The following is a 27,514-nucleotide window of genomic DNA, read 5'->3' as shown; positions in this document are numbered from 1 at the left end:
GCAAAACCCCGTCTCTACTAAAAATACAAAAATTAGCCAGGCACAGTGATGGGCACCTGTAATCCCAGCTACTCAGGAGGCTGAGGCAGGAGAATCGCTTGAACCCGCGAGGTGGAGGTTGTGGTGAGCCAAGATCGAGCCACTGCACTCCAGCCTGGGCAACAGAGCCAGACTGTCTCAAAAAAAAAAAAAAAAAAAAAGCCTGGGCGCGGTGGCTCACGCCTGTAATCCCAGTACTTTGGCACTTTCGGAGGCCAAGGTGGGTGGATCACTTGAGGTCAGGAGTTCGAGACCAGCCTGGCCAACATGGTGAAACCCCGTCGCCACCAAAAAAAAAAAAAAAAATACAAAAATTAGCCAGGCATGGTGGTGTGCGACTGTAATCCCAGCTACTTGGGAGGCTGAGGCAGGAGAATTGCTTGAACCTAGGAGGTGGAGGTTGCGGTGAGCCAAGATCATGCCATTGCACTCAGCACTCCAGCCTGGGAGAAAGAGTAGTGAAACTCCACCCCCCAACCAAAAAAAAAAAAAAAAAAAAGGAAGAAAAACAGCCTATCATCCATTTTTTTTTTTTTTGGAAAAAAAATGCATACACAAAAAATATGTGAGAAAAATGTGGGGAAGAAAATATATCCCATATTAACAATGGTAACCTCGGAAAATGGTATTATAGATAATCATTACTTGTTTCGTTTTATCTTCCTATATTATCTAAGATGTTTAACAAGGAGCATTACATGTATTTTTCTGTTTTTTGAGACGGAGTCTCACTCTGTCGCCAGGCTGGAGCGCACAGGCATGATCTCAGCTCACTGCAACCTCCACCTCCCGGGTTGAAGCAATTCTTGTGCCTCAGCCTTCCGAGTAGCTGAGATTACAGGTGTGCATCACCATGCCCTGCTAAGTTTTGTTTTGTTTTTGTTTTTTTGAAATGGAGTCTCGTTCTGTCACCCAGGCTAGAGTGCAATGGTGCGATCTCGGCTCATGCAACCTCTGCCTCCTGGGTTCAAGTGATTCTCCTGCCTCAGCCTCTCGAGTAGCTGGGATTACAGGCACCCACCACCACACCCAGCTAATTTTTGTATTTTTAGTAGAGACGAGGTTTCACCAGTTTGGCCAGGCTGGTCTCGAACTCCTGATCTCAGTGATCCACCCCGCCTTGGCCTCCCAAAGTGCTGGAATTATAGGCGTGAGCCACTGTGCCCAGCCCAAATTTTGTATTTTTAGTAGAGACGGGGTTTCACCATGTTGGCCAGGCTGGTCCCAAACTCCTAATCTCAAGTAATCCACCTGCCTCAGCCTCCCGAAGTCCTGGGATTACAGGCGTGAGCCACTGCGTACAGCCGATTACATGTTTTTTTTTTTTTTTTTTTGAAGCAGAGTTTTGTTCTTATTGCCCAGGCTGGAGTGCCATGGCGCAATCTCGGCTCACCACAACCTCTACCTCCCAGGTTCAAGTGATTCTCCTGCCTCAGCCTCTGGAGTAGCTAGGATTACAGGCATGTGCCACCACGCCCGGCTTATTTTGTATTTTTAGTAGAGATGGGGTTTCTCCATGTTGGTCCCGCTGGTCTTGAACTCCTGACCTCAGATGATCCACCCACCTTGGCCTCCCAAAGTGCGGGATTACAGGCGTGAGCCATCGTGCCTGGCCACATGTATTTAAAAAATTTTTAAGTCTGTTGTAAAAAATTAAAACATTGAAGAACAACATTAAATGAAATATCCATCATAACTCCATTCAACCCCATGTAAGCACCAGTAACTTTGGTAATGTGTTGTTATAATCAGAGGGGGAGAAGAGCTATTTTCTTTTCTTATTTAATTGATTGATTTTTTTTAGAGACAAGGTGCCACCACACCTGTAATCCTAGCACTTTGGGAAGTCGAGGCAGGAGGATCGCTTGAGCCCAGGAGTTCAAGACCAGCGTGGGCAACATGGCGAAACCCCATTTCTATCCAAAAAATTACAAAAATTAGCCGGGCATGGTGGTGCACGCCTGAAGTCCTGGCTACTCAGGAGGCTGAGGTGGGAGGATGGCGTGAGCCTGGGAGGCTGAGGCTAAATTGAGCTGAGATTGTGCCACTGTACTTTAGCCTGGGCGAAAGAGACAGACACTGTCTCAAAAAAACAAAAACACACATGCACTGAAGATCGCGGCTGCTGTGGGAAGGTTACTCTGAGCATCAGTTGCCCGGCATGTGAGTGCCATTCCTTGGGGGCATTTCTGCCACTGCAGCCCTCAGGCCTGCTGCTTCTGGAAGAACAAGTTTGACAAACATATTGTGGTCTGGTTCCGGTCAAGCAAAATTCTGGTACCAGTTCCTCATACCATGCACCTGATGTCACCCAGCATGCGCCCTATTTTAAGGGTACAGCCGTGGTCAATGGAGAGTTCAAAGACCTAAGCCTTGATGACTTTGAGGGGAAATATTTGGTGCTTTTCTTCTATCCTTTGGATTTCTTTCTTTTTTTTTTTTTTTCCGAGACGGAGTCTTGCTGTGTCACCCAGGCTGGAGTGCAGTGGCACGATCTCGGCTCACTGCAACCTCCCCCTCCTGGGTTCAAGCCAATTCTCCTGCCTCAGCCTCCTGAGTACCTGGAATTACAGGCGCCTGCCACGACGCCTGGCTAATTTTTGTATTTTTAGTAGAGATGGGATTTCACCATGTTGGTGAGGCTGGTCTTGAACTCCTGAACTCAGGTGATCCACCCACCTCAGCCTCCCAAAGTGCTGGGATTACAGGTGTGAGCCACCGCGCCCAGCCCTATCCTTTGGATTTCACCTTTGTGTGTCCTACAGAAATTGTTGCTTCTAGTGACAAAGCTAAGGAATTTCACGATGTGAACTTTGAAGTTGTTGCAGTCTCAGTGGATTCCCACTTTAGCCGTCTTGCCTGGATAAATACACCAAGAAAGAATGGTGCTTTGGGCCACATAAACATCGCACCCTTGTCAGATTTAACTAAGCGAATTTCTCGAGACTTCGGTGTGCTGTTAGAAGGTCCTGGTCTTGCACTAAGAGGTCTCTTCATAATTGACCCCAATGGAGTCATCAAGTACTTGTTTTTGTTTGTTTGTTTGTTTGTTTTTTTGAGACAGCATCTCACTCTCTGTTGCCCAGGCTCAAGTGCAGTGGCACAATCACGGCTCATTGCAGGTTTGACCTCTTGAGCTCAGGTGATCCTCCCACCTCAGCCTCTAGAATAGCTGGGACTACAAGTGCGCATCACAGTGTCCAGCTAATTTTTATATATTTTGTAGAGACAGGGTTTTGCCAAGTTGCCCAGGCTGGTCTAGAACTCCTGGGCTCAAGCGATCTACCCGCCTCAGCCTCCCAAAGTGCTGGGATTACAACAGCTGTGAGCCACCATGCCCGGCCGGAGCCACAGTCTTTAAGGTCATGAAAAACAATCAAGTTGTCTAAGCCTCTACCTAATGTTACGAAGGGAAGGAGAACTCCAAGAGCCCTTCTCGGTCTCAGCTCTGGGCCTAACCAGCAGCCCCCTCATTCCTTCCTTCTAGTGGTTCCCGAGAACCTCGCCTCTCTAGCTCTCCCCTCCATGGTATATGGACACAAGGCCAGGCACTTTTCTGCTGATTATCCTGGGGAAGGAGAACTAAATACTAAAGATGGGAAAGTAACCAAAGGTCTAGAATCCTGATAAGCCTTTGCAGGCTGAGCTTCTGCAGGTTGTCACTGGCCCAGTTCTGACTGATGAGGTGGCAGTTCTGAACTTCACCCAACTTTTATTCTCCCAGGGCTGAGAATCCTCCCACCTGTCTTTTGAGACCCCTTGTCCCACACTAAAAAGTGCACATTCTTTGGGATTAGAGGGAACTGGGTTCACCTTCCAGAGCTTGTGGCTGGCCAGTTGCCTTAACCTCTCTGAACTGTATCCTCATCTATAAAAGGGGATGCAATGACTACTTCTCAGGGCTGTCATCAAGACTGAATGAAATGGTTGTAAATCCACAAATATTTATAGTGCTTTACTACTAAGGGAGGAGACCACCCCTCATATTGTCTTATGCCCAATTTCTGCCTCCAAAGAAGTAAAAACTAAAAGGCAGAAATGAAATCCACAGGCAGACAGCCTGGCGCCGCGACCTGTGTCTGGTTAAAGATCGACCCCTGACCTAACCGGTTATGTTATCTATAGATTCCAGACATCGTATGGAAAAGCACTGTGAAAATCCCTGTCCTGTTCTGTTCCGTTCTGATAACCAGTGCATGCAGCCCCCAGTCACATATCCCCTGCTTGCTCAATCAATCACGACCTCTTCATGCAGACCCCCTTAGAGTTGTAAGCCCTTAAAAGGGACAGGAACTGCTCACTCGGGGAGCTCAGTTTTTGGAGACGTGAATCTTGCCAAAGCTCCCAGCTGAATAAAGCCCTTCCTTCTTTAACTGGGTGTCTGGGGGGTTTTGTCTGCGGCTTATCCTGCTACACTACTGCTTGGCTTTGGGTGAGGAGGTGTAGCAAGGATAAAGGAGACTAACCCTTTTTTACTCTCATAATTTGTTCATCCTTTGTATTTATTTTTGAGACAGGGTCCTGCCCAGACTTGAGTGCAGTGGCATGGTCATGGCTCACTGCAGCCTCAACCACCCGGGCTTGAGCCATCCTGGATAGCTGGGACTACAGGTGTGCACCACCACGCCCGGCTAATTTTTGTATATTTTGCAGAAACAACGTCTTGCCATGTTGCCCAGGCTGGTCCCGAACTCCTGGGCTCAAGCGATTCTCTAGCCTTGGACTCCCAAAGTGCTGGGATTATAGGTGTAAGCCACCATGCCTGGCCTTTTATTTTATTTTTTTAAGAGAGGGGGTCTCACTCTGTCACCTAGGCTGGAGTGCAGTGGTGCAATTAGCTTATTGCAGCCTCGAACTCATGGACTCAAGCGATCTTCCCACCTCAGCTTCCCAAGAGCCTGGGATCATGGGCACGTGCCACAGCACTTGGCTTGATTTGTTCATCCTAAAAAAGTCCAGAGGATTCTTGGCAGGCCTGCCCAAGATCCCCCTATGAGCTTGGCCAAACACAAAGACTCCCAGGCTTGGGCTTAAATGACCAGGTAGATGGTAGACTTCCATGTAGTGAGATAGAGAACACTGTTGAACAAACAGGAGAGAAGAGACGTGAAGCTCCATGTTGCTAGGTGTTTTCATTCAATCTGAAGTGCTTGGGAGCCATCCCAGAAAGGATGTCAGGCAGGCAAAGTTAGATGGGGTAGGGATGTGGGATATAAGAGGCATCTTTGTGGCCGGGCACGGTGGCTCACGCCTGTAATCCCAGCAGATTGGGAGGCCAAGGCGGGTGGATCACCTGAGGTCAGGAGTTCGAGACCAGCCTGACCAACGTGGAGGAACCCCATCTCTACTAAAAATACAAAATTAGCCAGGCGTGGTGACGCGTGCTGTAATCCCAGCTACTCGGGAGGCTGAGGCAGGAGAATCGCTTGAACCCAGGAAGTGGAGGTTGTGGTAAGCCGAGTTTGCACCATTGCACTCCAGCCTGGGCAACAAGAGTGAAACTCTGTCCCTCCACCAAAAAAAGAGGCACCCTTGTTTTAGATAGACAGCTGTATGCCAAGGCAAACATCTCATCAGTTCATCAGAATAATCTGTAGCAGTCTGCTGTGCCTGGGAGGGAGACTGTATTAGCATGAAAAGTACTCACAATAAGAAGTCAGGAGAAAAAGCAGGAAACAATTATGTCAGCACAGTTGGTGCTGATGGCTGGGCTGCCATGAGCACAGCCCGGAATGGAGTCAGACACATAAGGGCTATATGAAGTGTTGGTGTCATGGGGCATTAACCAAAAAATCTGTTATCATGGATGGAACAAACCCAGTCAACATCTCCTTAGTTGTGTTTGGCTAATATTCTGGAGCGTTTCACTACAAGCTGGCCACAATGATCCCACTCTACAGAGAAGAAAACTGAGGCTCAGAAAGGTGAAGTATCTCACTCAAGATTGGAAGAGAAGGCCAAGATCTGAACCAAGTTAGTCAGACTCCAGAGCTGGCGTCCTTGAGTGTTATTAGAAATTTCTTCTGGCCGGGCGCGGTGGCTCACGCCTGTAATCCCAGCACTTTGGGAGGCCGAGGCGGGCGGATCATGAGGTCAGGAGATCGAGACCACGGTGAAACCCCGTCTCTACTAAAAATACAAAAAATTAGACAGGCGTGGTGGCGGGCGCTTGTAGTCCTAGCTACTCGGGAGGCTGAGGCAGGAAAATGGCGTGAACCCGGGAGGCAGAGCTTGCAGTGAGTCGAGATCACGCCACTGCACTCCAGCCTGGGTGACAGAGCAAGACTCCGTCTCAAAAAAAAAAAAAAAAAAAAAAGAAATTTCTTCTGCCTCCTTCCTCCCCATGCTCCCTAGTAGTCTCTCAGCTTGCCTGGAACTGTGTCTCCTCCTCCTTTCCCTAGGAAAGACAGCAACTTTTCACTGGTCTTCCGGTCCCCACCCTCATCCCCTCCTCTCATTCTCCAAGTCATTCGTGATCAATAAATATGTGTGTGTGTATATATATACATATATATATTTATTTTTTTTTGAGACAGGGTTTCACTCTGTTGCCCAGGCTGTAGTGCAGCAGCACGTACACGGCTCACTGCAACCTCCACCTCCTAGGCTCAAGCGACCCTCCTGCCTCAGCCTCCAGAGTAGCTGGGACTACAGGCATGTACCACCACGCTTGGCTAATTTGTAATTTTTTTTTTTCTTGTAGAGACAAGGTCTCACTATGTTGCCCAGGCTGGTCTCAAACTCCCGGGCTCAAGTGATCCTCCCACCTCGACCTCCCAAAGTACTGGGATTATAGGCGTGAGGTACCATGCCCGGCCTCATTCATGATCTTTCCAAACCTCAAACCTGAAGCAAGCTGCTGGCCTGCTTGGACTCCTTAGTGGTCCCCTTTTCCTGGAAGATAAAGCCCACATTTCTTAGCTGGGTATTAGAGGTCTCCAACATCGGGTACTGACAGAACCTTTAGCTTCATTTCCTATCTATCACATCCTCCCTTCTCTTCCCACACAATCTCCTTGCCAGACCCACCAGGCCAGAATGCTAACTGTCCTCTCCATACTATTTGCATCTCTTTACCTGGAACGCCTTCCCATCCCTTATCCCACTGGAAGAACATCTACTGGTGTCTCAAAGTCACCTCCTCTGATCCCTCCTCCATCCTGAACTAGTCATTCTCTCTGAGAAACTGGGACAGACTTTTGGATCACAATCACTTTAATTTACATGCCTGTCCACCATACCAATCAACTTCCTAAAATATGAGCCCCTGGGGGCACCGGCTAACTCACTGTATCTTCCATATGCAAAACCCTTTTATTCCTCACAGGAAGCTGAAGAAGGCAGCACTGTCACTCCTATTTCACAGTTAAGGAACTGAGGCTCAGAAAGATAACTTTATCGGCCTAAGTTCACAGAGCAAGTAAAGGGCAGCCTAGAAAAGCAACCCAGGCCTATCTGACTGATTCTGAAGGCAGACCTTGGTCCAGGCAGGGGCTAAGGCAGTCTGGGCAGGCCTCCCCAGTATCCCCTATGCACTTGGCCAAGTCCAAGAAGCAGAGAGCAGAAGCCAGCTGAGGAGAGGATGGTGAGACCAGAGAGGAGACAATGAGGCAGCTAGAGCCTGAGGGAAGGTGGGGTGGGTGGTGACAGATCCACCCACAGATGTGGGGAAGGACAGTGGCGACAACTCCCTGCTGCGGTGGAGACGGCACCTGAGTGCTCTTTGAGTCCCAGAGGCTTCCTCTCCAAAATGGAAGACTTGAGGCCCTGCACTGGGCTGGCAATCGCCAGGGAAGGGCAGGGGATGGAGGGCCACCTTCTTTTTTTTTTTTTTTTTTTTTTCTGAGGTGGAGTCTCGCTCTGTCGCCCAGTCTGGAGGCAATGGCGCGATATCGGCTCACTGCAAGCTCCGCCTCCCAGGTTCACGCCATTCTCCTGCCTCAGCCTCCCGAGTAGCTGGGACTACAGGCGCCTGCCACCACACCCAGCTAATTTTTTGTATTTTTAGTAGAGACGGGGTTTCACCGTGTTAGCCAGGATGGTCTCGATCTCCTGACCTCATGATCCACCCACCTCGGCCTCCCAAAGTGCTGGGATTACAGGCGTGAGCCACTGCTCCCGGCCAGAGGACCACCTTCTAAAAGGTGGAGCCCTGTTCCCGGTACCTGCCTGCACAGCCTCTACTGCACAAATGGGTCTTGTATACAGACTTCTCTCACTGCTCTGGGTGTGTTTTCCTTTATTTGCTTTTCTTTTCTTCTTTTTGAGATGGAGCCTCACTCTGTTGCCCAAGCTGGAGTTCAGACTCACGATCTCAGCTCACTGCAACCTCCGCCTCCCAGGTTCAAGCGATTCTCCCGCCTCAGCCTCCCTAGTGCTGGGACTACAGGCGCAAGCCACCACGCCTGGCTAACTGCTTGGTATTTTTAGTAAAGACGGGGTTTCACCATGTCGGCCAGGCTGGTCTTGAACTCCTGACCTCAGGTGATCTGCCCACCTTGGCCTCCCAAATTGCTGGGGTTACAGTCGTGAGCCACCGAGCCCGGCCTCTCTGGCTGTTTTCTTAACCAGGCAGTGAGTGTCTGGGCTGGGAATAAGGAGTTGGCTTTTGGCATCATGCTTCCCCACCCCGCCCCACACAACACAGCTTCCATCTTCAAGGAGCATACAGTCTCTGGGAGAAGAGTGAGACAGTCACAGATAAGTCGGCTACAGAGTCAGCTTCCACCATCAGGCACTCCTGAATGCCCACAGCTGCCCTTTGAGGTGAGCAGACTCATCCCAGTTTTACAGCTAAGGGGAAGATGAGGCTCAGGGAAAGGTGACCCAGGTCACAGAGAGGTGGAATGAAATCCCAGTCTCATGACCATGCTCCACCAGAGCTGGAGCTGCCCTACCCCCACCTCACCTTCCTTATTTATTGAAGAAAGTGGGTAGGCACGCCAGTCTAGACAGTCTGCCCGGAGCCTGGTGCTCCTGCCCTGACCTCCAGTGACCTCACCACAGCCTCGATTTCTGTAAAAGGAGACAGAGCCCTCCCAGGCCACTGCAGCTGTGCCCTCCGTCCCCCACACCAGGAGGAAGAACTTGCCTGCCAGACTAAGGCTGAAAAATCTCTGTGTGTAAGGTCCCCAGGAGGGAAGGGAGGAGAGGGCTCATGTGTCAACAATATACATTTGGTGAGCTGCTGTTATGCCAGGCACACAGGTGGTATATTTCACACTAGGAGTTTCTCACCTGGGATCCCCGTTCTATACAACCTGTGCCTGGGCCTATGTGTTCATTTTTCCTGGGGGAAGGGACACACAACTTCACTGCTTTATGAAAATTATAGGATATTACTATTCGGGAGGCTGAGACAGGAGAATCGCTTGAACCCGGGAGGTGGAGGCTGCAGCGACTGAGAGCACGACACTATACTACAGCCTGGGCGATAGACCAAGATTCTGTATCAGAAAAAAAAAAAAAATTGGCCGGGTGCGGTGGCTCACACCTGTAATTCCAGCACTTTGGGAGGCTGAGGCAGGTGGATCACCTGAGGTCAGGAGTTCAAGACCAGCCTGGCCAACATGGTGAAACCCCGTCTCTACTAAAAAAAAAAAAATACAAAAATTAGCTGGGCCTGGTGGTGTGTTCCTGTAGTCTCAGCTGCTCAGCAGGCTGAGGCAGAATTGCTTGAACCTAGGAGGTGGAGGTTGCAGTGAGCTGAGATCGCGCCACTGCACTCCAGCCTGGGTAATAAGAGTGGAAACTCCGTCTCAAAAAAAAAAAAATTATATCCTCACCACATGCCCCCTACCATTGCTTTACAGATAAGGAAACCAATGCTCTGGGGGACTGGGTGGGTTGCCCAAGGGCATCTGATGAGAAAGTTGTAACGATGAACAGAACAGGATTCCTGCTCTTGGGATGTCTTTGAAACAGGAGCCTCGTGAACTCCTAATTCATCTGTCCAGGTTTCACTCTGATACCCTTCTTGGGGGAAATCTTCCCTGCCTCCTCCACCCCGCAGAGTTCCTTAGTCTTGCACACAAGACGCTTCGTGACCCAGCCCCTGCTGTATCATCTTGTTACTCTCCTCCTCCAGTCACCTCAAGACCTGTGGTATCCCTGACCACAATACCTATACCTTCATGCCGTTGCACGTGCAATCCCTCTGCCTGTATCACCCTAATCCCACTACCCTCAGACTGCCTGAAAAACTCTGTTCCTTCAAAACCCCATTCAAGAGTCACTTCACCTGGAAAGCCATCCCTGAGCCTCCTGGGCAGGGTGGGGGATCCCCCTGAGGGCTCCCCGTAACACCCCACACACTCAACTTCTGCTAGGGCACACAAGTCACACGTGGTCGAAGTTAGGTCAATATGTGACGTATGAATGACTTGCCAGTAGCGTCCGTCGCCTGGGTTCAAGGGCATAGTTCGCTAATGACACGGGCCTGCTCTTCTCACTACTGTCCCCCAGCCCCGCAAGAGAGGGACGCAATAAATGGCCAGCAAATAATCTGCTGACAGACTGAGCTGCTGCGGAGTTCAAGACACACGGCTCCCAAAGGTCCACAGCGGGAGACCCTCGAGCTCCTACGACCCACCCTCTCCCGGGCAGGGCTCCCTCCCCGATCTGCAAACCGCCTTCTCCAAGCGCATGCCGGACAAAACCATCCTCCTCGCGGCAGAGACCCATCCCCCGCCCGGGCGGCCGCGCGCACCCGGCCCGCCGCGCTCGCGCAGTTTGAATCTCCCGCCTGCGCGGGCGCCGCGGTGCGGGCGTGAGAGGCGCGGCGGCGGAGGGGCCGCGCGGCCCTAGCTCCAGCGAGGCAGCGCCCAGCCGCTGCTGGAGCGCCCCGCGGGGCCGGGGAATCGCGAGCCCGCACCGCGCCTTCCTGCCTCCGGGCTTCACGTGGGGCCGGCGCCGCGCGACACGGGCGAGAGCGGGCAGCGACTTAGGCCCGCGTGGACCGGCCCGTGCTCCGGCTGTGGCCGCTCCGCTTACCGCCCTCTGCCCGGACCCTCCGCGCGTCCCAGGCGAGACCTACCTTGGTGCACGTCGGCCACAAGGAACTCCGGCGCTCCCCGCCGGGCCGCGAACTGCCCCAGAGCATGCGCTCTGCAGGCCTCTGGCCCCGACCCGGGTGAGAAAGGAAAACAAAGAGCCCGGCGGCCCCTGGCGGCCATCCCAGGATCTGCATGTGGCGCGCTCCCGGGCTGGGGGAGCCCTTGGCCGGGCTGGGGGAGCCCTTGGCCAGGCTGGCTCCCCTGGCCCGGTTCCAGTGGGCGTGTATTTTGGAAACCCCAAATCGGGACACGTGGACTAACAACCAGAAAGACTCCTTGAGTTCGGTCTGTTTAGGAAAATCTTGTGCGGTAGGGTCTGTACGGAGAAAAAAGATACTCATCTTCCCTACCCTCAAGAGGGCATGGAGAAGGTTGAAAAATCAGACTATCAACAACCACACAACGCTATGACAGGGATACCCAGAGGGGCATCTGACTCAGTCCGGGGCTTAAGAACAGCTTTCCAAGTTAAGTCTAGGGGGGCAGGACATCCTAGGAGAAGCGACGTTTGCAATGACAGGGAACCACGAGAACCCAGGGAGGTTGTGGGAAACTGCCAAGTAGATGGGAGTAGAGGGTGCCTGTGGGAGTGACAGATCATGGATACAGGGTCTTGTGTGTCTAAGGGGTCCAGCCTCTATCCTGAGGCAGTAGGGATATATGGGAATTTGGGCACGGGAATGGCATGATCAGATTTTTTTCCCCGTGAGTTAACATCAGATGGGTATGTGCCCATGTCTTAACAAGGTTTGAGGGAGGCACATCTCATATGCGTGTGAACACCCAGTCATCTTCTTATGAGCTACAAGAGCATCCTAATATGATCAGATCTTATAGAACAAAATAGAGAATGGACTTGGGGAAAACGGGAGCCAAGTGGGGAGGAGCAAGAGGAATGAGAGAGACCAGATAAAATAGAAGGGTGTGAGTTGGGGTTGGGTTAGAGATGGAAAACAGGTACCAAGAAAAGGCTGTCTCTTATTAACACCCATTCTTCAGGATGGATACAAACAGTTCTTCAGGATTTCAGGTGTTCCCTGAAACCCTTGCAAAGGACGTTTTCTCGATTTCATGTTGATTCAGACTCTGAGTCATTCTACGGCACCCAAAGTCTAGATGGACACTTTTGATGAGTTCTTACCAACTGAACTGAACTTTTTTTTTTTTTGAGATCGAGTCTTGCTCTTGTCACCCGGGCTGGAGTGCAATGGTGAGATCTCGGCTCACTGCAACCTCTGCCTCCCAGGTTCAAGCGATTCTCCTGCCTCAGCCTCCCAAATAGCTGGGATTACAGGTGCCTGCCACAAAGCCTGGCTAATTTTCGTATTTTTAGTAGAGACTGGGTTTCGCCATGTTGGCCAGGCTGAATTCTTATATGCAGAGCCTGCCACAAAGCACTCCCCTGTCTTCAGGGTTTCTTACCTCTCCAAGTTTACCTCTGCCTCCATCATGGACTCCTCTTTTGGATGATGTACTGTGAAATTTCTCCAACTTTTAACCCTGGGATCTCTGATCTCTCTCTCTCTCTCTGCTGTCTTCCTCCAAGATCTTACACATTCATGTAGCTTCATGTAATAATAATAAGTGATTATTATTATTATTGCCTATTTTGTAAGACCCTTTATTTTGTTAACTACAGAAACATCCATGTCAGCTCATTTGTTCCTCACAAAAACCTCATGGCAGTTGGAAGATAAGAAAACTGAAGTTTAAAGAGGTAAAGCAAGTTTTCTGGGGTCTTCACACAAGTGGTGGAAGGAGACCTCAACTCTTTTTTTTTTTTTTTTTGAGATGGGGTCTCACTCTGTTGCCCAGGCTGGAGTGCAGTGGTGCGATCTCGGCTCACTGCAGCCAGGTTCAAGCAATTCTCCTGCCTCAGCCTCCCAGGTAGCTGGGATTACAGGTGCCTGCCACCACACCCAGCTAATTTTTGTATTTTTAGTAGAGACAGGGTTTCACCATCTTGGCCAGGCTGGTCTTGAATTCCTGATCTCATGAGCCACCCACCTCATCCTCCCAAAGTGCTGGGCTTACAGGCGTGAGCCTCCGCGCCCAGCCTTAATTTTTGTACTTTTAGTAGAGATGGGGTTTCTCCATGTTGGCCAGGCTGATCTCGAACTCCTGACCCGCCCAGGCTAGAGTGCAATGGCACGATTTCAGCTCACTGCAACCTCTTCCTCCTGGGTTCAAGCAATTCTCCTGCTTCAGCCTCCTGAGTAGCTGGGATTACAGGCGCCTGCCACCATGCCCAGCTAATTTTTGTATTTTTAGTAGAGACGGGGTTTTACCATGTTGGCCAGCCTGGACTTGAACTCCTAAACGTCAGGTGATCCACCCGCCTCAGCCTACCAAAGTGCTGGGATTACAGGCGTGAGCCACCGCGCCTGGCCATTTTGTGTATTTTTAGTAGAGACCGGGTTTCACCATTTTTGCCAGGCTGGTCTGGAACTCCCGACCTCAGGTGACCTGCCCATCTTGGCCTCCCAAAGTGCTGGGATTACAGGCATGAGCAACTGCACCTGGCCTTTATTTTTATTTTTTTAGTTTTGTATTTGTATTTTTTATTTTATTTTGAGATGGAGTCTCATTCTGTTGCCCAGGCTGGAGTGCAGTGGTGCAATCTCGGCTCACTGCAACCTCTGCCCCCTGGGTTCAAGCAATTTTCCTGCCTCAGTCTCCAGAGTAGCTGGGATTACAGACACGCACCACCATGCCCGGCTCATTTTTGTATTTTTAATAGAGACAGGGTTTCACCATGTTGGCCAGGCCGGTCTTGAGCTCTTGACCTCAAGTGATCCACCCATCTCGGCCTCCCAAAGTGCTGGGATTACACGTGTGAACTACTGCGCCCAGCCCCAGTTGTTTGTCTCAAGAGTCTCACTCTGTCATCCAGGCTGGAGTGCAGTGGCAGGATCTCGGCTCACTGCAACCTCTGCCTCAGCCTCCCGAGTAGCTGGGACCACAGATGTGCACCACCATGCCCAGCTAATTTTTTTTTTTGAGACGGAGTCTCACTCTGTTGCCTAGGCTGGAGTGTAATGGCGTGATCTCAGTTCACTGCAATCTCTGCCTCCTGGGTTCAAGCAATTCTCCTGTTTCAGCCTCCCGAGTAGCTGGGATTACAGGCGTGCACCACCACGTCCAGCTAATTGCCCATCTAATTTTTGTATTTTTGGTAGAGACAGGGTTTCACTATGTTGGCCAGGCTGGTCTTGAACTTCTGAGCCTCAGCAGTCAGCCTGCCTTGGCATCCCAAAGTGTTGGAATTACAGGAGTGAGCCATCGCAACTGGCTGATATGGAGGTTCTGGCTGTAATAATGTACTGTGGGTTTTATAACATATATAAAAGTAAGACACATGACAATATCAAAGACTATATAGTGAGAAATGGAAGAAATATTTATTTATTTTTTCGAGACGGAGTCTCGCTCTGACCTCGTGATCTGCCTGCCTTGGCTTCCCAAAGTGCTGGGATGGATTACAGGCGTGAGCCACTGTGCCCAGCCGGAAGATTGTTTTTTTTTTTTGAGATGGAGTTTTGCTCTTGTTGCCCAGGCTGGAGTGCAATGGCATGATCTCGGCTCACTGCAACCTCTGCCTCCCAGGTTCAAGCAATTCTCCTGCCTCAGCATCCCGAGTTGCTGGGATTATAGGCATGTGCCACCATGCCCGGCTAATTTTGTATTTTTAGTAGAGACGGGGTTTCTCCATGTTGGTCAGGCTGGTCTTGTACTCCCGACCTCAGGTGATCCGCCAGTCTCAGCCTCCCAAAGTGCTGGGATTACAAGTGTGAGCCACCACACCAGGCCGCCAGAAGGTTTTTTTTTTGTTTTTTTTTTGAGACGGAGTCTCGCTCTGTCGCCCAGGCTGGAGTGCAGTGGCGCGATCTTGGCTCACTGCAAGCTCCACCTCCTGGGTTCATGCCATTCTCCTGCCTCAGCCTCCCTAGTAGCTGGGACTACAGGCACCCGCCACCACGCCCGGCTAATTTTTTGTATTTTTAGTAGAGATGGGGTTTCACCGTGTTAGCCAAGACGGTCTTGATCTCCTGATCTCGTGATCCGCCCGCCTCGGCCTCCCAAAATGCTGGGATAACAGGCGTGAGCCACCGGGCCCCGCCTTTTTTTTTTTTGAGACGGAGTCTTGCTCTGTTGCCTAGGCTGGCACGATCTCAGCTCACTGCAACCTCTGCTTCCAGGTTCAAGCAATCTTCTGCCTCAGCCTCCCAAGTAGCTGAGACTACAGGCGAGCACCACCACACCTGGCTAATTTTTTTTTTTTTGTATTTTTAGTAGAGGCGGGGTTTCACCATATTGGCCAGGCTGGGGAAGATTCTTATACTACAAGTGAACTGGTTTAATATCAATTGAATGTGGACTATTGTAAGTTAAAAATGTATAATATGGCTGGGCATGGTGACTCATGCCTGTATTCCTAGCACTTTGGGAGGCCAAGGTGGGAGGATTGCTTGAGCCCTGGAGGTCAAGACCAGCTGGGACAACATCATGAGACCTTGTCTCTACAAAAAATACAAAATTTAGCCAGCCATAGTGGCACATGCCTGTGGTCTTCACTACTCAGGAGACCGAGCTGGGAGGATGGCTTGAGCCCAGGAGTTCCAGTTTAAGGCTGCAGTGAGTCATAATCTTGCCACTGAACTCTGGCCTGGGTGACAGAGTGAGACCCTGTCTTAAAAAAAAAAAGTAAATAGCCTAAACACTCCAATTAAAAGACATAGACTGTCATACTGAAAAACCCAACATGTTACCTACAAGAAATAAAATTTTAAAATAAGGCCAGGCACGGTGGCTCATGCCTGTAATTCTAGCACTTTGGGAGGTCAGGGCAGGCGGACTGCCTGAGCTCAGGAGTTTGAGACCAGCCTGGGCAACATGGTGAAACCCCATCTCTACTAAAATACAAAAAAATTAGCCAGGCATGGTGGTGCATGCTGTAGTACCAGCTGCTCCAGAGGCTGAGGCATGAAAATTGCTTGAACCTGGGAGGCAGAGGTTGCAGTGAGCTGAGATCGCATCACTGCACTTCAGCCGCGCAAACCCCATCTCTACTAAAAATACAAAAAAATTAGCTGGGCGTGGTGGTGCGTGACTGTAATTCCAGCTACTCCGGAGGCAGAAGTTGCAGTGAGCTGAGATTGTGCCACTGCACTCTGGCTTTGGCAACAGAGTGAGACTCTTGTCTAAAAAAAAAAAAGAGGCTGGGCGCGGTGGCTCACACCTGTAATCCCAGCACTTTGGGAGGCCGAGGCGGGTGGATCACAAGGTCAGGAGATTGAGACCATGGTGAAACCCCATCTCTACAAAAAATTAGCAGGGCATGGTGGCAGGCACCTGTAGTCCCAGCTGCTGGGGACGCTGAGGCAGGAGAATGGTGTGAACCCAGGAGGCGGAGCTTGCAGTGAGCCAAGATTGTGCCACTGCACTCCAGCCTTTGGAGACGCAGTCTCCAAAAAAAAAGAAACTAGCAAGGATAGATTTGAACAACACTAATACAACAACAATAATACACTTTCAAGTAGCCCATAGATCAAAGAATAGAAAAGGAACTCAAAAATATTTTGAAATGAATTAAAATGAAAACAAAACATACCAGAATTTGTGTGTTGTTAACAGTATCTGGAGGAAATTTATAGCACTAAATGCCTACATTAGAAAAAAAGAAAGGTCTCCAATCAATGAGCTCAGCTACTAGCTTAAGAAACTAGGAATAGATGAGCAAACTAACCCCAAAATAAGCAAAGAAAATAATAAAGATAAAAACAAATCAATAAAAAAGAACACAGAAAAATTAAATCAGCCAGTGCTTGCTATATGGCAGGCACAGTACAAGAATAAGTACTGAGTTTACATATGCAGTCTCTTGAGGATCCTCCAAGTAGGTTAGATGGACATAAAATGGAAAATAACCAGATCAGAATACTAATGACCAGGAAGAATGATCAAGGTGCCAGCCTGCCTTCAAGAGCCAGTGAGGCCATTGTGGATCCTTAGGGAAAGGGGAGGTGAGGATAGTGGTTAAGAGATCAAGGCTCTGCCGGGCGTGGTGGATCACCTGAGGTCAGGAGTTTTGAGACCAGCCTGGCCAACATGGCGAAACCCTGTCTCTACTGAAAAAAAAAACACAAAAATTAGCCGGGTGCGGTGCAGGCGCTTGTAATCCCAGCTACTTGGGAGGTTGAGGCAGGAGAATCGCTTGAACCCAGGAAGCAGAGGTAGCAGTGAGCTGAGATCACGCCACTGCACTCCAGCCTGGGAGGCAAAGACTCCATCTCAAAAAAAAAAAAAAAAAAAAGGATCAGGCTTGAGGCTAGGCGCAGTGGCTTACGCCTGTAATCCCAACACTTTGGGATGCTGAGGCAGGTGGATCACTTGAGGTCAGGAGTTCGAGACCAGCCTGGCTAACATGGTGAAACCCGTCTCTACTAAAAAATGCAAAAAAAATTAGCCGGGCATGGTGGCGTGCGCCTGTAATCCCAGCTACTTGGGAGGCTGAGGTGGGAGAATTGCTGGAACCCGGGAGGTGGAGGTTGCAGCAAGCCAAGATGGCTCCATTGCACTCCCTCCTGGAGACAGAGTGAGATTAGATCTCAAAAAAAAAAAAGCTGGGCATGGTGGCTGACGCCTGTAAACCCAGCACTTTGGGAGGCCGAGGTGGGCGGATCACGAGGTCAGGAGATGGAGACCTTCCTGGCTAACATGGTGAAACCCCTTCTCTACTAAAAATACAAAAAAATTAGCCGGGTGTGGCGGCGTGCACCTGTAGTCCCAGCTGCTGGGGAGGCTGAGCTTGCAGTGAGCTGAGATTGTGCCACTGCACTCCAGCCTGGGCGACAGAGCGAGACTCCCTCTCAAAAAAAAAAAAAAACAAAAAACAAAAAATTGGATACTGTATCCTTGGTTTCTGAGAAGTCACAAAAGAATGTTATTTAATAAGTGATCATGCTGCTGCACTCCATCTAGAGACCCTAAGAATCTTTTCACAAATACCAACTCCTTTGTCCTTATTACAACTCTATGAGGTAGTTTATCACTTATTTTGTGAACATGAAATTGAGGCAGAGGGGCTGAGTAACTCACCCAAAGTCTCATGAACAGCAAGTGGTGGGATCAGGATTCAAACCCAGTCTAGTACTCCTAAGATAGGCAACCAATACTGTCTGCCTACACAAAGAACAAGGCCAGAAGTGCCTGTTTGGAAAGTCTAAAAAAGGGGTATTGCAAGCTGAAGTTTAGCAGAGTGGGACCTGAACACCTACTGACAGCTTTGCTTCACCTCTACCTTGCAAGTCAATAGAAATTCATTCATTTCCTGCCCAGCACTGCAGTTACCCAAACCCACCTGAGTATATGGATTGAAAACATACTAAAACCACTGGTTCAGAAAAAAATCACTTTACTCAGGTGAGATCTATGTAGTTACAGCAGGACACGGATGGGACTGGGCATACAGACGAATGGGGCTGACTCATCTGGCTTCTTCCTGAGCAGGGAATTTGATGCTTGTTTCTGCAGAGGTGCCACTTCTAGTTGTGGACTTGGACAATTAGTCTTTTGGTTCCTGGGATTCCCCATTGGAATATGCTGTATTAAAGCCCACTTAGTGCTTACCTAGAACAGTGCCTGGCACAGGTAAGCACAAATACAATTGCTTTAGGAAGATGCCTTTTTTTTGAGACTTAACTCTGTCACCAGGCTGGAGCGCAGTGGCAAGGTCTCAGCTCAGTACAACCTCCATCTCCCGGGTTCCAGCAATTCTGCCTCAGCCTCCCACAGGTGCACACCACCATGCCCAGTTATTTTGTATTTTTAGTACAGACAGGGTTTCACCGCGTTGGCCAGGATCTCTAGATGTTGTGATCCGCCTGCCTTAGCCTAAGTGCTGGGATTACGGGTGTGAGCCACCAAGCCTGGCTGCATTTAACATGCCCTCTTAAACACTGCCTCACTCCTCTTAGCTTGTAAGAAAAATCAAGCTGTGTTCCCCCACAATCATAGCTAGTAACTAGCTTCCATTCTCAAACCAACCCTGACCTCAACACCTTGGCAAGCAAGCTCTACAGTCCACCAAACTCCAATCTCACCCACCTCCCTCAAACCTGTCTCCATCAAGTTCCAAATGGCTTAACGGCTGTCCCACCTCCCCTATGCCAGTAGGTAACTTTACCTTCTAGATGATCCCCCTTCAGTCCCATCCTTCAGGGTACTGAACATTTATGTTGGCAGCCAGTGCAGGGGGCTTGACAAAGTTTCCATTGTGACTCACGTCATGAGGCAAGCAATTCTGGCAATCTTCAGGCGGAGGTGCGCCAGGTAGTAGAGGCTCATACAACTCATCAGCTAGGGATACAACCTCCCGTTGCTACCATCGATTTTTCCTCCACTACACTGCAGGAAGCTAAAGAATCGGTCTAACTCATCTTGCACTCAACCCAGACTTACGGTCCTATTGGTCAGGACCTAATATCCATTTTCCCAATAAACTGCCAATATAAAGTGAACCCAAGGGGGACCCACCTGAGACTAGGTTTCAGGGCCTTTAGAACTGAAGCTATCATGCTAGTTTCCTTCAACAGTACCATTCAGATTCTTGGCTGATGTCACCACAGCCACCTCCACAAAAATGAACCACAAACATGCAGTCGTATTTATTTTAATTCATAAATACATTAACATAGCAGATTAGGCAATTTGTTAGGTAAATTACAAATACATTAGAAATCATACAAAAGTGGCCGGGCAGGGTGGCTCACAGCTGTAATCCCAGCACTTTAGGAGGCTGAGGTGGGCGGATCACGAGGTCAGGAGTTGAGAACAGCCTGGCCAATATGGTGAAACCTCATCTCTACTAAAAATACAAAAATTAGCCAGGTGTGGTGCTACACGCCTGTAGTCGCAGCTACTTGGGAGGCTGAGGCAGGAGAATCGCCTGAACCTGGGAGGCGGAAGTTGCAGTGAGCAAGATCATGAAAAGCAAAATACTCAAGGACTTTTAATATAACCACCAACACAGTGTGCCTTCTGGCCAAGCAGAGTCACTTCTGTGGTTCTTAAAGTATGAATGAGGTGAAAGAATGTGCATTCCTAGCTAAATGCCAAATTCCAAAGCCTTTAGTACAAAAACAGCAGACTTTCTGCAAAACAGGTCGACTTTTAAAAGAGGTATGAGGGCTGGGCGTGGTGGCTTATGTTTGTAATCCCAGCTACTTGGGAGGCTGAGGTTGCAGCCAAGATTGCGCCACTGCACTACAGCCTGGGCGACAGAGCAAGACTCTCAAAAGGAGGCATGAAATGCACCTCAATCTTTTGCTCCAAGTCTGCCAAAGATTGTCAAACCCTCCCTGTTAAAAAAAAAAATCAGTTTACCTACTCTCCCTTCTATATAAAGGACCCTAAAATTAAATGTCAATGCCAAAATGCGAAGTGCAGATCGTCTTCTCTCCTAAAAGAAAAGAAATAATGATTAGACTCCTGAAGATCCTACTTCAACTTAAAATCTAGTATACTAGATATGTTTCCTGCATGGTTTGTCTCCCCAGTCATTGTCCACAGGACTCTGGGAAGCTGTAGGAATATGCAGGCGCAGACACGAGGCCCAGCTTCATCTTCAACGTTGTGGAAAGGGACTGTACATCATGGGGCAGAGCCCTAAGCTCCCCTATGCCACTTGGACAGAGCCTGGGGAGAGTGACCTCCCAGGGTATCCACGTTGGAATGCTCATTAGTGAGGAATTGGAGTAACCGACAAATCCAATATTGCTAATCACCCACAGTATTTTCAAGGGCTAGTATCTTTCTCAGCTCAGGCTACACATGTAGATAAAGCCAATTAGGCTTCCTACAGTTCACTAGGGCAGCTTTTACTACTTTGCACTTTTAATGAGCTGACTAAAAAAAGCAATTTTTACAGAACAGAGCATATGTTGAAGTTATGTCAACATGCCTACAAAAATGCAGCAAAGTCGATATTTGGCTATTGCTCTGAGAATGATTAAATGCCTCAGAGGTAAATCCTGACCAACTAGAATAAAAGTCTCTTCAATCCTATTTCCATTACAGAAATCATTGACAAAGAGCTGATAAGCAAAAAACAATTAGCAGATTTACTCACCAAATAAGAGTTACTTGGAATCCTTAACAAATCCTGCAAAACAAGATATTAATCTATTAGTACAGCAAAACCCTAAACTTTTTCAACGAGGGGCCTCATGCTATCGCCTGGGGTTGGAGTACAGTGGCACTGGAGTATAGGTTTGAGTATAGGTCACTCCTGGGCTCCAGCGATTCTCCTTCCTCCAGCTACCTATCATCATGCCTGGCTACTTTTTAGCCAATTTTTCTTAAACATGTATTAAGACTTCAATCCAGCCAGGTGTGGTGGCTCACGCCTGTAATCCCAACATTTTGGGAGGCCAGAGGCTGGCGGATCACAAGGTCAGGAGTTTGAGACCAGCCTGACCAACATGGTGAAACCCTGTCTTTACTAAAAATACAAAAATTAGCCTGGCGTGGTGGCGGGGGCCTGTAATCCCAGCTACTCAGGAGGCCAAGGCAGGAGAATCACTTAGCATAATCACTTGAACCCGGGAGGCAGAGGCAATGGAGTGCGCCACTGCACTCCAGCCTGGGCAACAGAGCGACTCCATCTCCAAAAAAAAAAAAAAAAAAAAAGACTTCAATCCAGATTCAGTGCTCTAGAAGGCTGTTTCCTGCATGGTTTGTCTCCCCAGTAATTGTCGACAGGACTCTGGGAAGCTGTAGGAATATGCAGGCGCAGACACGAGGCCCAGCTTTATTTCCAACGTTGTGGAAAGGGACTTGTACATCATGGGGCAGAGCCCTATGCTCCCCTACGCCACTTGGACAGAGCCCGGGGAGAGTGACCTCCCGGGTGTATCCACGTTGGACAATCAGTGTAACGCATAAATTTACAGAATCCAATAGGAAACAATTTCATCCATTCATGTTACTACAGATCTTAAACAAGAAAGCAAACGAGTTTCCACCCTGTCCACAGTGGGGTGTTAAAAAAAAATCGGTTTCTAGACTGGTAACATGCATATTCAGCTATTCTAATTACTTTACAATAGGCGGTTAGTACTATGTGGAAGGTACCGCAGAAGCAAAGACAACAATTAGGCCCAGCTATCCTAAATTCAAATGAAACACGTGGACTTGTTAATTACCCCCAAATCGGCCAGGCACGATGGCTCACGCCTGTAATCCTAAAAATATAAAAATAAAAATGACCCAAATCACAAAAATACGAGAAAGCATAATTACGAAACGCAATGCTTCCAAATTATGAAAATCTTCGGCCTGGCGTGGCGGACCACAAGGTCAGGCGTTGGAGACCAGCCTGGCCAACATGGTGAAATCCCGTCTCTACTAAAAATACAAAAATAAGCCAGGCGCGGTGGTACACGCCTGTAGTCCCAGCTACTCGGGAGGCTGCGGCAGGAGAATTGCTTGAGCCCAGCAGGCGGAGGTTGCAGTGGTGCGATCAAATAAAAAGAAAAATTGAGAAAATTCTTAAAGGCAAATGAGGATCCAGAATAAAACTGTGTGCAATTATATTGAGAACGACAATGTGCCTACTATGAGGCAGTAAGATAAACAGTGGGGGTGGCGGTGCACCTTCAGAGGCTCGCTGGGTCGGGCGGCAGCCCTGCGGGTCCCGAGGTCTCCATGGCCCACTTCTGGCCCAGGCCCGTCTAACGCGTACTTTAGAGTTGGGACCGATGCCGCCTAAGACACCCATATATAGTTTTAAATTACATGATTTCCGGCCAGGCGCGGTGGCTCACGCCTGTAATCCCAGCACTTTGGAAGGCCGAGGGTGGTGGATCACCGGAAATCAGGAGTTCAAAACCAGCCTGACCAACATAGCGAAACCCCGTCTCCACTAAGAATACAAAAATTGGCCGGGCGTGGTGGCACGTGCCTGTAATCCCAGCTGCTGGAGAGGCTGAGGCACGAGAATCGCTTGAACCCGGCAGGCGGAGGTTGCAACGAGCACTGCAGTCCAGCCTGAGTGACAAACCGACTCCGTCTCAAAAAAAAAAAAAAAGTAAATAAATAAAATACTATATGATCTTCCTAGGGAAGCTCGGCTACTGATCTATAGCATTAGACCCACAACTCCGGTGGCAAGCATCTGATCACACTTACCAAGGATCACACTTACCAAGGAGAAGAAGCGACCACTGCGAATCTGTCTCCAAAAAGGAGAGAGAAAACGCGAAGCATCCTTTTTAAACCTTACGAAGTGCCCGGAAGTCCTGGAATGTCTATTGCGCGTGCGCAGAAGCATGCGCAGTTAGAGAATCAGAAACTCACTGAGGCTTCTGGGAATCTACTGCAGATTGAGCCCCACCCCTTCCTGGCTGGGAGGCCTCTCGCGGTAGTGGATCCTTCCCGCGGGACCTTGCTGGGGAATGTACGTTACAGAAATAGGTTTGTAGGTATGTAGCTGCAGAGGACGTTTACTTCTGTGCAATCACTGGACTCAGTCTGTAGGATATGCCCTTAGATAAACTGGCCAAAAAGTTTTTGGAAGAGTCGAACGCGGTGGCTCACGCCTGTGATTACAGCAGCTCTGAAGGCCGTGAGGGGCGGATCGCTTGAGGCCAGGAGTTCGAGACCGGCCTGGGCATCATGGCGAAACCCCGTCTCTACAAAAAATACAGAACATAAGCCAGGCATGGTGCCGCGCACCTCCAGTCCCAGCTACTCGGGAGGCTGAAGCATGAGAATCGTTTGAACCTGGGAGGCGGTGGTTGCAGTGAGCCGAGATCGCGCCGATGCACTCCATCCTGGTCGACAGAGCGAAACTCTCTCTCCAAATAAATAAGTAAAACGTTGGAATAATAAGAATGCAGAATGAAAAAAATACATATAGAGAAATACGGAGTATCAAAAGGAATTGAATCTGCTCTGTCACCTGTGAAAGAAATAATTTGATAAATGTGAAGGTAAATAAGATGAAAGTGCCCCTAGACGAATCAGATAAAAGTTTAAAAACTCCAGGCCTGGCCCGGATAAAAATAAATAAAAATAAAAAATAAAAAACTCCATTGCACAACAGTGTGAATGAATGTAATTAAAAGCACTGCCCTATACTCTTTCTTTTTTTTTCGAGATGGAGTTTTGCTCTGTCACCCAGGCTAGAGTGGAATGGCGCGGTCTCGGCTCACTGCAACCCCGGCCTCCCGGGTTCAAGCGATTCTCCTGCCTCGGCCTCCCCAGTAGCTGGGATTACAGGCGCCCGCCACCGTGCCTGGCTAATTTTTGTATTTTTAGCAAGACGGGGTTTCACCATCTTGGCCAGGCTGGTCTCGAACTCCTGACCTCAAGCAATCCACCCGCCTCGGCCTCCAAAGTGCTGAGATTACAGGCATGAGCCAGCGCACCTGGACTTTTTTTTTTTTTTTTTTTTTGAGACGGAGTCTCGCTCTGTCGCCCAGGCTGGAAGGAAGTGGTGTGATCTCGGCTCACTGCAACCTCCACCTCCCAGGTTCAACCAGTTCTCCTGCCTCAGCCTCCCGAGTAGCTGGGACTATAGGCATGCCACCATGCCCGGCTAATTTTTGTATTTTTAGTAGAGACCGGGTTTCACCATGTTGGCCAGGCTGCTCTCGAACTCCTCACCTCAAGTGATGCCCGCCTTGGCCTCCCAAAGTACTGGGATTACAGGCCTGAGCCACCACACCTGGCCCCCTATACATTTTAAACTAGTTAAAAATGGCAAGTTTTATGTATATTTTACCACACACAAAACCCTCTGAATATGAAGTAGGCAAGTAAAGAATGCTTACGATATATATACATAAGAAATGTTGCAAATATGATGGAATTTTTAGTGTGGTGTAAGGTGGAAAAACGTTGGCTAGAGAGACAGAGCTATCACAGCTGGGCTATCTTGAGTAGTAACGTTTATGGTGTTCCTCCTACATATTAGATTTTGTTCTGAATGCTTTATTACGTACATTATTTACTATCGCAGCAATTCTTTTTTTTTTTTTTTTTGAGATGGAGTCTTGCTCTGTTGCCCAGGCTGGAGTGCAGTGGCTCGATCTTGGCTCACTGCATTCTCTGCCTCCTGGGTTCAAGCAATTCTCCTGCCTCAGCCTCCCGAGTAGCTGGGACTGCAAGCAAGTGTCACCATGCCCCACCAATTTTTGTATTTTCAGTAGAGACGGGGTTTCACCATATTGGCCAGGGTGGTCTTGAACTCCTGACCACGTGATCTGCCCGCCTTGACCTCCCAAAGTGCTGGGATTACAGGCATGAGCCACCGTGCCCGGCCTACAAATTTTTTTTTTTTTTTAGATGAAGTCTCACTCTGTCCCCCAGGCTGGAGTGTAGTGGTGCGATCTCGGCTCACTGCAACCTCCGCCTCTCAGGTTCAAGCAATTCTCCTGCCTCAGCCTCCTGAGTAGCTGGGATTACAGGCGCCCGCCACCATGCCCAGCTAATTTTTGTATTTTTAGTAGAGACGGGTTTTCAGCATGTTGGTCAGGCTGGTCTTGAACCCCTGACCTCATGATCCACCTGCCTCGGCCTCCCAAAGTGCTGGGATTACAGGCTTGAGCCACTGCGCCCGACCCCGGCCTACAAAATTTTAAAAAAAATGTTAGCTGAGTGTAGTGGCACATTCCTGTAATCCTAGCTACTTATGAGGTGTGAGGATCACCTGAGCCCAGGAGATGGAGGCTGCAGTGAGTCGTGATCATGCCACTGCACTCCAGCCTGGGCAACAGAGCAAGAACCTATCTCAAAAAAAAAAAAAAAAAAAAAAAAAAAAGACATTTCTGATGTAGGGTTTGTCGTCCCACTGGAATTGCAAGGTAAGAGAAGAACTTGAGGATACCAGAGTTTCAGGCTTAGGAGGCTGAACATACTATGGTCTCTAACCTTGATAAGTGGAAATGCAGGCAGTGGGGGAGGAGTAATGTCCACATTGGAGTATATACGAGTTACCTGAGTAACATCTGGTTGTATATAAGTCCAAAGAGCAATTAGATATATGGGGTTGGGCTTCCTGTAAGAAATCTGAGTTGGTGATAAAATATTTAGAAGTTGTAAGAATTAGCATGGTGGCTAAAGTCGTCTTGGAAGAATGAGGAGAGTGATGGGAAGACATGAAACCCCAGCATTTATTTTATTTTGAGACAAGATCTCGCTCTGTTGTTGAGGTTGGAATGCAGTGGTGTGATCAGGACTACTGCAGCCTGGACCACCAGGGCTGAAACGATTCTCTCACCTCAGCCTCTTCTGAGTAACGGGAACTAGAGGCATGCACCACCATGCTCAGCTAATTTTTTAAATTTTTGGTAGAGATGGCCTCTCACTATACTGCCCGGGCTGGTCTTGAACTCCTGGCCTGAAGCGATCTGCCAATCTTGGCCTCCGAAAGTGCTGGGATCACAGGCATGAGCCACCACACCCGGTAAAACACAGCATTCATTTATTTTATTTTATTCATTTATTTTTGGATGGAGTCTCACTCTTGTCACCCAGGCTGGAGTGCAGTGTTGTGATCTTGGCTCACTGCAACCTCTGCCTCCCGGGTTCAAGCAATTCTCGTGCCTCAGCCTCCCAAGTACCTGGGACTACAGGCACATGCCACCACACCCAGCTAATTTTTTTGTAGTTTTAGTAGAGATGGGGTTTCACCATGTTGGCCAGGTTGGTCTCGAACTCCTGACCTCAGGTGAACCACCTGCCTCGGCCTCCCAAAGTACTGGGATTACAGGCGTGAACCATCGCACCTGGCCGAAAACCCAGCATTTAAATGGTGTTCGAGGAAGAAGCCAGCAGCACAGAGAAAGGTCAGTCAGGGAAGGAGAACCAGAAGACAGCGGTGCCTCAGAAGCCAAGGAAGAAGAGTTTTGAGGACTAGAACATTGTCCAAAGCACCAAATGTTGCAAAGCAGCCAAGTGCAATAACCGAAGGCTGAGAAATCCCTGGTGACCACAGGAAAGCCATATTGGTTTGGATTTCGTTTAGATTTTAATGAGCTGAGTGAATATGGCCTTAGGTAGGGAAAACAATGTGCACAGACCAGAGGTTATGAAGCAAGGCCAAGAAGCCTGTTCAGTTTACATCTCCATCACTAGTTCTTCCTCTGTCAATCATTTAGCCCAGCTGCCTGGCCTGAGAACTTGGGTTGTTTAACATTGGAATAGATTGTGTGAAGGGAGTATAGGAAAAGCAGGAGAGAGGGTAATAGATTGAAGAGAAATTGGGGTCACGGGAAGATTGTGTCTTTGTTGCGGGTGAGGGTAGGAAGGAGGTAAGCATTAAATAATTTATTTAATGCTCCCCCTCCCACAATCCTCACTGAGGACTGTGTGTCCTCAGTGCCAAATGAAGGAACATTAAAGCTGTTTGTTCCTGT

At 49.0% G+C, this 27,514-nt stretch overlaps 1 protein-coding gene, 1 long non-coding RNA gene, 3 other non-coding genes and 1 pseudogene across 11 annotated transcripts in view, besides 14 other annotated features; 1 reads left to right on the top strand and 5 right to left on the bottom strand.

The window, feature by feature from the left end:
- Window positions 1-23,340, bottom strand: part of RCC1 (regulator of chromosome condensation 1) — a 32,947-nt gene extending 9,607 nt beyond the window's left edge. For 3 of the 6 annotated variants that reach the window (NM_001048194.4, NM_001048195.4, NM_001269.6), the window contains exon 1: window positions 11,075-11,157. The gene's annotated coding sequence lies outside the window, so the exon portion shown is untranslated. Of the gene's footprint in view, window positions 1-11,074; window positions 11,158-12,515; window positions 12,659-20,477; window positions 20,554-21,222; window positions 21,256-23,298 lie in introns of those variants that run through there. The other 3 variants (NM_001381865.2, NM_001381866.2, NM_001048199.3) reach the window with 3 other exon arrangements.
- Window positions 2,145-3,025, top strand: PRDX3P2 (peroxiredoxin 3 pseudogene 2; annotated as a pseudogene).
- Window positions 4,823-5,324: an enhancer, noted in NCBI's record as "H3K27ac hESC enhancer chr1:28850571-28851072 (GRCh37/hg19 assembly coordinates)". NCBI's record gives its function as "activates a minimal SCP1, AML or CMV promoter by ChIP-STARR-seq in naive H9 embryonic stem cells {active_cell/tissue: H9 hESC(naive)}" and the evidence as "EXISTENCE:reporter gene assay evidence [ECO:0000049][PMID:30033119]".
- Window positions 9,678-10,528: an enhancer, noted in NCBI's record as "H3K27ac hESC enhancer chr1:28845367-28846217 (GRCh37/hg19 assembly coordinates)". NCBI's record gives its function as "activates a minimal SCP1, AML or CMV promoter by ChIP-STARR-seq in primed H9 embryonic stem cells {active_cell/tissue: H9 hESC(primed)}" and the evidence as "EXISTENCE:reporter gene assay evidence [ECO:0000049][PMID:30033119]".
- Window positions 10,175-10,384: an enhancer, noted in NCBI's record as "active region_600". NCBI's record gives its function as "activates an Ori minimal core promoter by ATAC-STARR-seq in GM12878 lymphoblastoid cells {active_cell/tissue: GM12878}" and the evidence as "EXISTENCE:reporter gene assay evidence [ECO:0000049][PMID:35858748]".
- Window positions 10,525-10,614: a silencer, noted in NCBI's record as "silent region_542". NCBI's record gives its function as "represses an Ori minimal core promoter by ATAC-STARR-seq in GM12878 lymphoblastoid cells {active_cell/tissue: GM12878}" and the evidence as "EXISTENCE:reporter gene assay evidence [ECO:0000049][PMID:35858748]".
- Window positions 10,525-11,380: a biological region, named in NCBI's record as "H3K27ac hESC enhancer GRCh37_chr1:28844515-28845366".
- Window positions 10,529-11,380: an enhancer, noted in NCBI's record as "H3K27ac hESC enhancer chr1:28844515-28845366 (GRCh37/hg19 assembly coordinates)". NCBI's record gives its function as "activates a minimal SCP1, AML or CMV promoter by ChIP-STARR-seq in primed H9 embryonic stem cells {active_cell/tissue: H9 hESC(primed)}" and the evidence as "EXISTENCE:reporter gene assay evidence [ECO:0000049][PMID:30033119]".
- Window positions 10,665-11,304: a silencer, noted in NCBI's record as "silent region_541". NCBI's record gives its function as "represses an Ori minimal core promoter by ATAC-STARR-seq in GM12878 lymphoblastoid cells {active_cell/tissue: GM12878}" and the evidence as "EXISTENCE:reporter gene assay evidence [ECO:0000049][PMID:35858748]".
- On the bottom strand, window positions 11,808-11,907 carry LOC124904836 (small nucleolar RNA U13). The gene has a single exon (XR_007067432.1). It is a non-coding gene; the product is annotated as a small nucleolar RNA U13 (small nucleolar RNA).
- Window positions 12,455-12,514: an enhancer, noted in NCBI's record as "active region_599". NCBI's record gives its function as "activates an Ori minimal core promoter by ATAC-STARR-seq in GM12878 lymphoblastoid cells {active_cell/tissue: GM12878}" and the evidence as "EXISTENCE:reporter gene assay evidence [ECO:0000049][PMID:35858748]".
- Window positions 17,024-17,592: an enhancer, noted in NCBI's record as "H3K27ac hESC enhancer chr1:28838303-28838871 (GRCh37/hg19 assembly coordinates)". NCBI's record gives its function as "activates a minimal SCP1, AML or CMV promoter by ChIP-STARR-seq in primed H9 embryonic stem cells {active_cell/tissue: H9 hESC(primed)}" and the evidence as "EXISTENCE:reporter gene assay evidence [ECO:0000049][PMID:30033119]".
- Window positions 18,074-18,123: an enhancer, noted in NCBI's record as "active region_598". NCBI's record gives its function as "activates an Ori minimal core promoter by ATAC-STARR-seq in GM12878 lymphoblastoid cells {active_cell/tissue: GM12878}" and the evidence as "EXISTENCE:reporter gene assay evidence [ECO:0000049][PMID:35858748]".
- SNHG3 (small nucleolar RNA host gene 3) lies at window positions 18,491-23,440 on the bottom strand. Of its 2 annotated transcripts, NR_036473.1 has the most exons (4): window positions 23,299-23,440; window positions 23,056-23,163; window positions 21,223-21,255; window positions 18,491-20,553 (listed from the first exon to the last, which is right to left on the bottom strand). It is a non-coding gene; the product is annotated as a small nucleolar RNA host gene 3 (long non-coding RNA). The 2 variants fall into 2 exon arrangements; NR_002909.2 differs by lacking the exon at window positions 23,056-23,163.
- Window positions 18,977-19,742: an enhancer, noted in NCBI's record as "H3K27ac hESC enhancer chr1:28836153-28836918 (GRCh37/hg19 assembly coordinates)". NCBI's record gives its function as "activates a minimal SCP1, AML or CMV promoter by ChIP-STARR-seq in naive H9 embryonic stem cells {active_cell/tissue: H9 hESC(naive)}" and the evidence as "EXISTENCE:reporter gene assay evidence [ECO:0000049][PMID:30033119]".
- Window positions 18,984-19,203: an enhancer, noted in NCBI's record as "active region_597". NCBI's record gives its function as "activates an Ori minimal core promoter by ATAC-STARR-seq in GM12878 lymphoblastoid cells {active_cell/tissue: GM12878}" and the evidence as "EXISTENCE:reporter gene assay evidence [ECO:0000049][PMID:35858748]".
- SNORA73B (small nucleolar RNA, H/ACA box 73B) lies at window positions 20,621-20,825 on the bottom strand. Its single transcript, NR_004404.2, has one exon. It is a non-coding gene; the product is annotated as a small nucleolar RNA, H/ACA box 73B (small nucleolar RNA).
- Window positions 21,275-22,040: an enhancer, noted in NCBI's record as "NANOG-H3K27ac-H3K4me1 hESC enhancer chr1:28833855-28834620 (GRCh37/hg19 assembly coordinates)". NCBI's record gives its function as "activates a minimal SCP1, AML or CMV promoter by ChIP-STARR-seq in primed H9 embryonic stem cells {active_cell/tissue: H9 hESC(primed)}" and the evidence as "EXISTENCE:reporter gene assay evidence [ECO:0000049][PMID:30033119]".
- Window positions 21,812-22,018, bottom strand: SNORA73A (small nucleolar RNA, H/ACA box 73A). The gene has a single exon (NR_002907.2). It is a non-coding gene; the product is annotated as a small nucleolar RNA, H/ACA box 73A (small nucleolar RNA).
- Window positions 22,232-22,526: an enhancer, noted in NCBI's record as "tiled region #7965; K562 Activating non-DNase unmatched - State 2:TssF". NCBI's record gives its function as "activates a minimal TATA promoter and a strong SV40 promoter by Sharpr-MPRA in K562 cells {active_cell/tissue: K562}" and the evidence as "EXISTENCE:reporter gene assay evidence [ECO:0000049][PMID:27701403]".
- Window positions 23,441-27,514: the final 4,074 nt, after the last annotated feature.

This window comes from Homo sapiens, chromosome 1 (assembly GCF_000001405.40).
Source record: "Homo sapiens chromosome 1, GRCh38.p14 Primary Assembly".
NCBI classification, from domain to species: Eukaryota; Metazoa; Chordata; class Mammalia; order Primates; family Hominidae; genus Homo; species Homo sapiens.
This window is presented reverse-complemented; position numbering and strand designations above follow the sequence as displayed.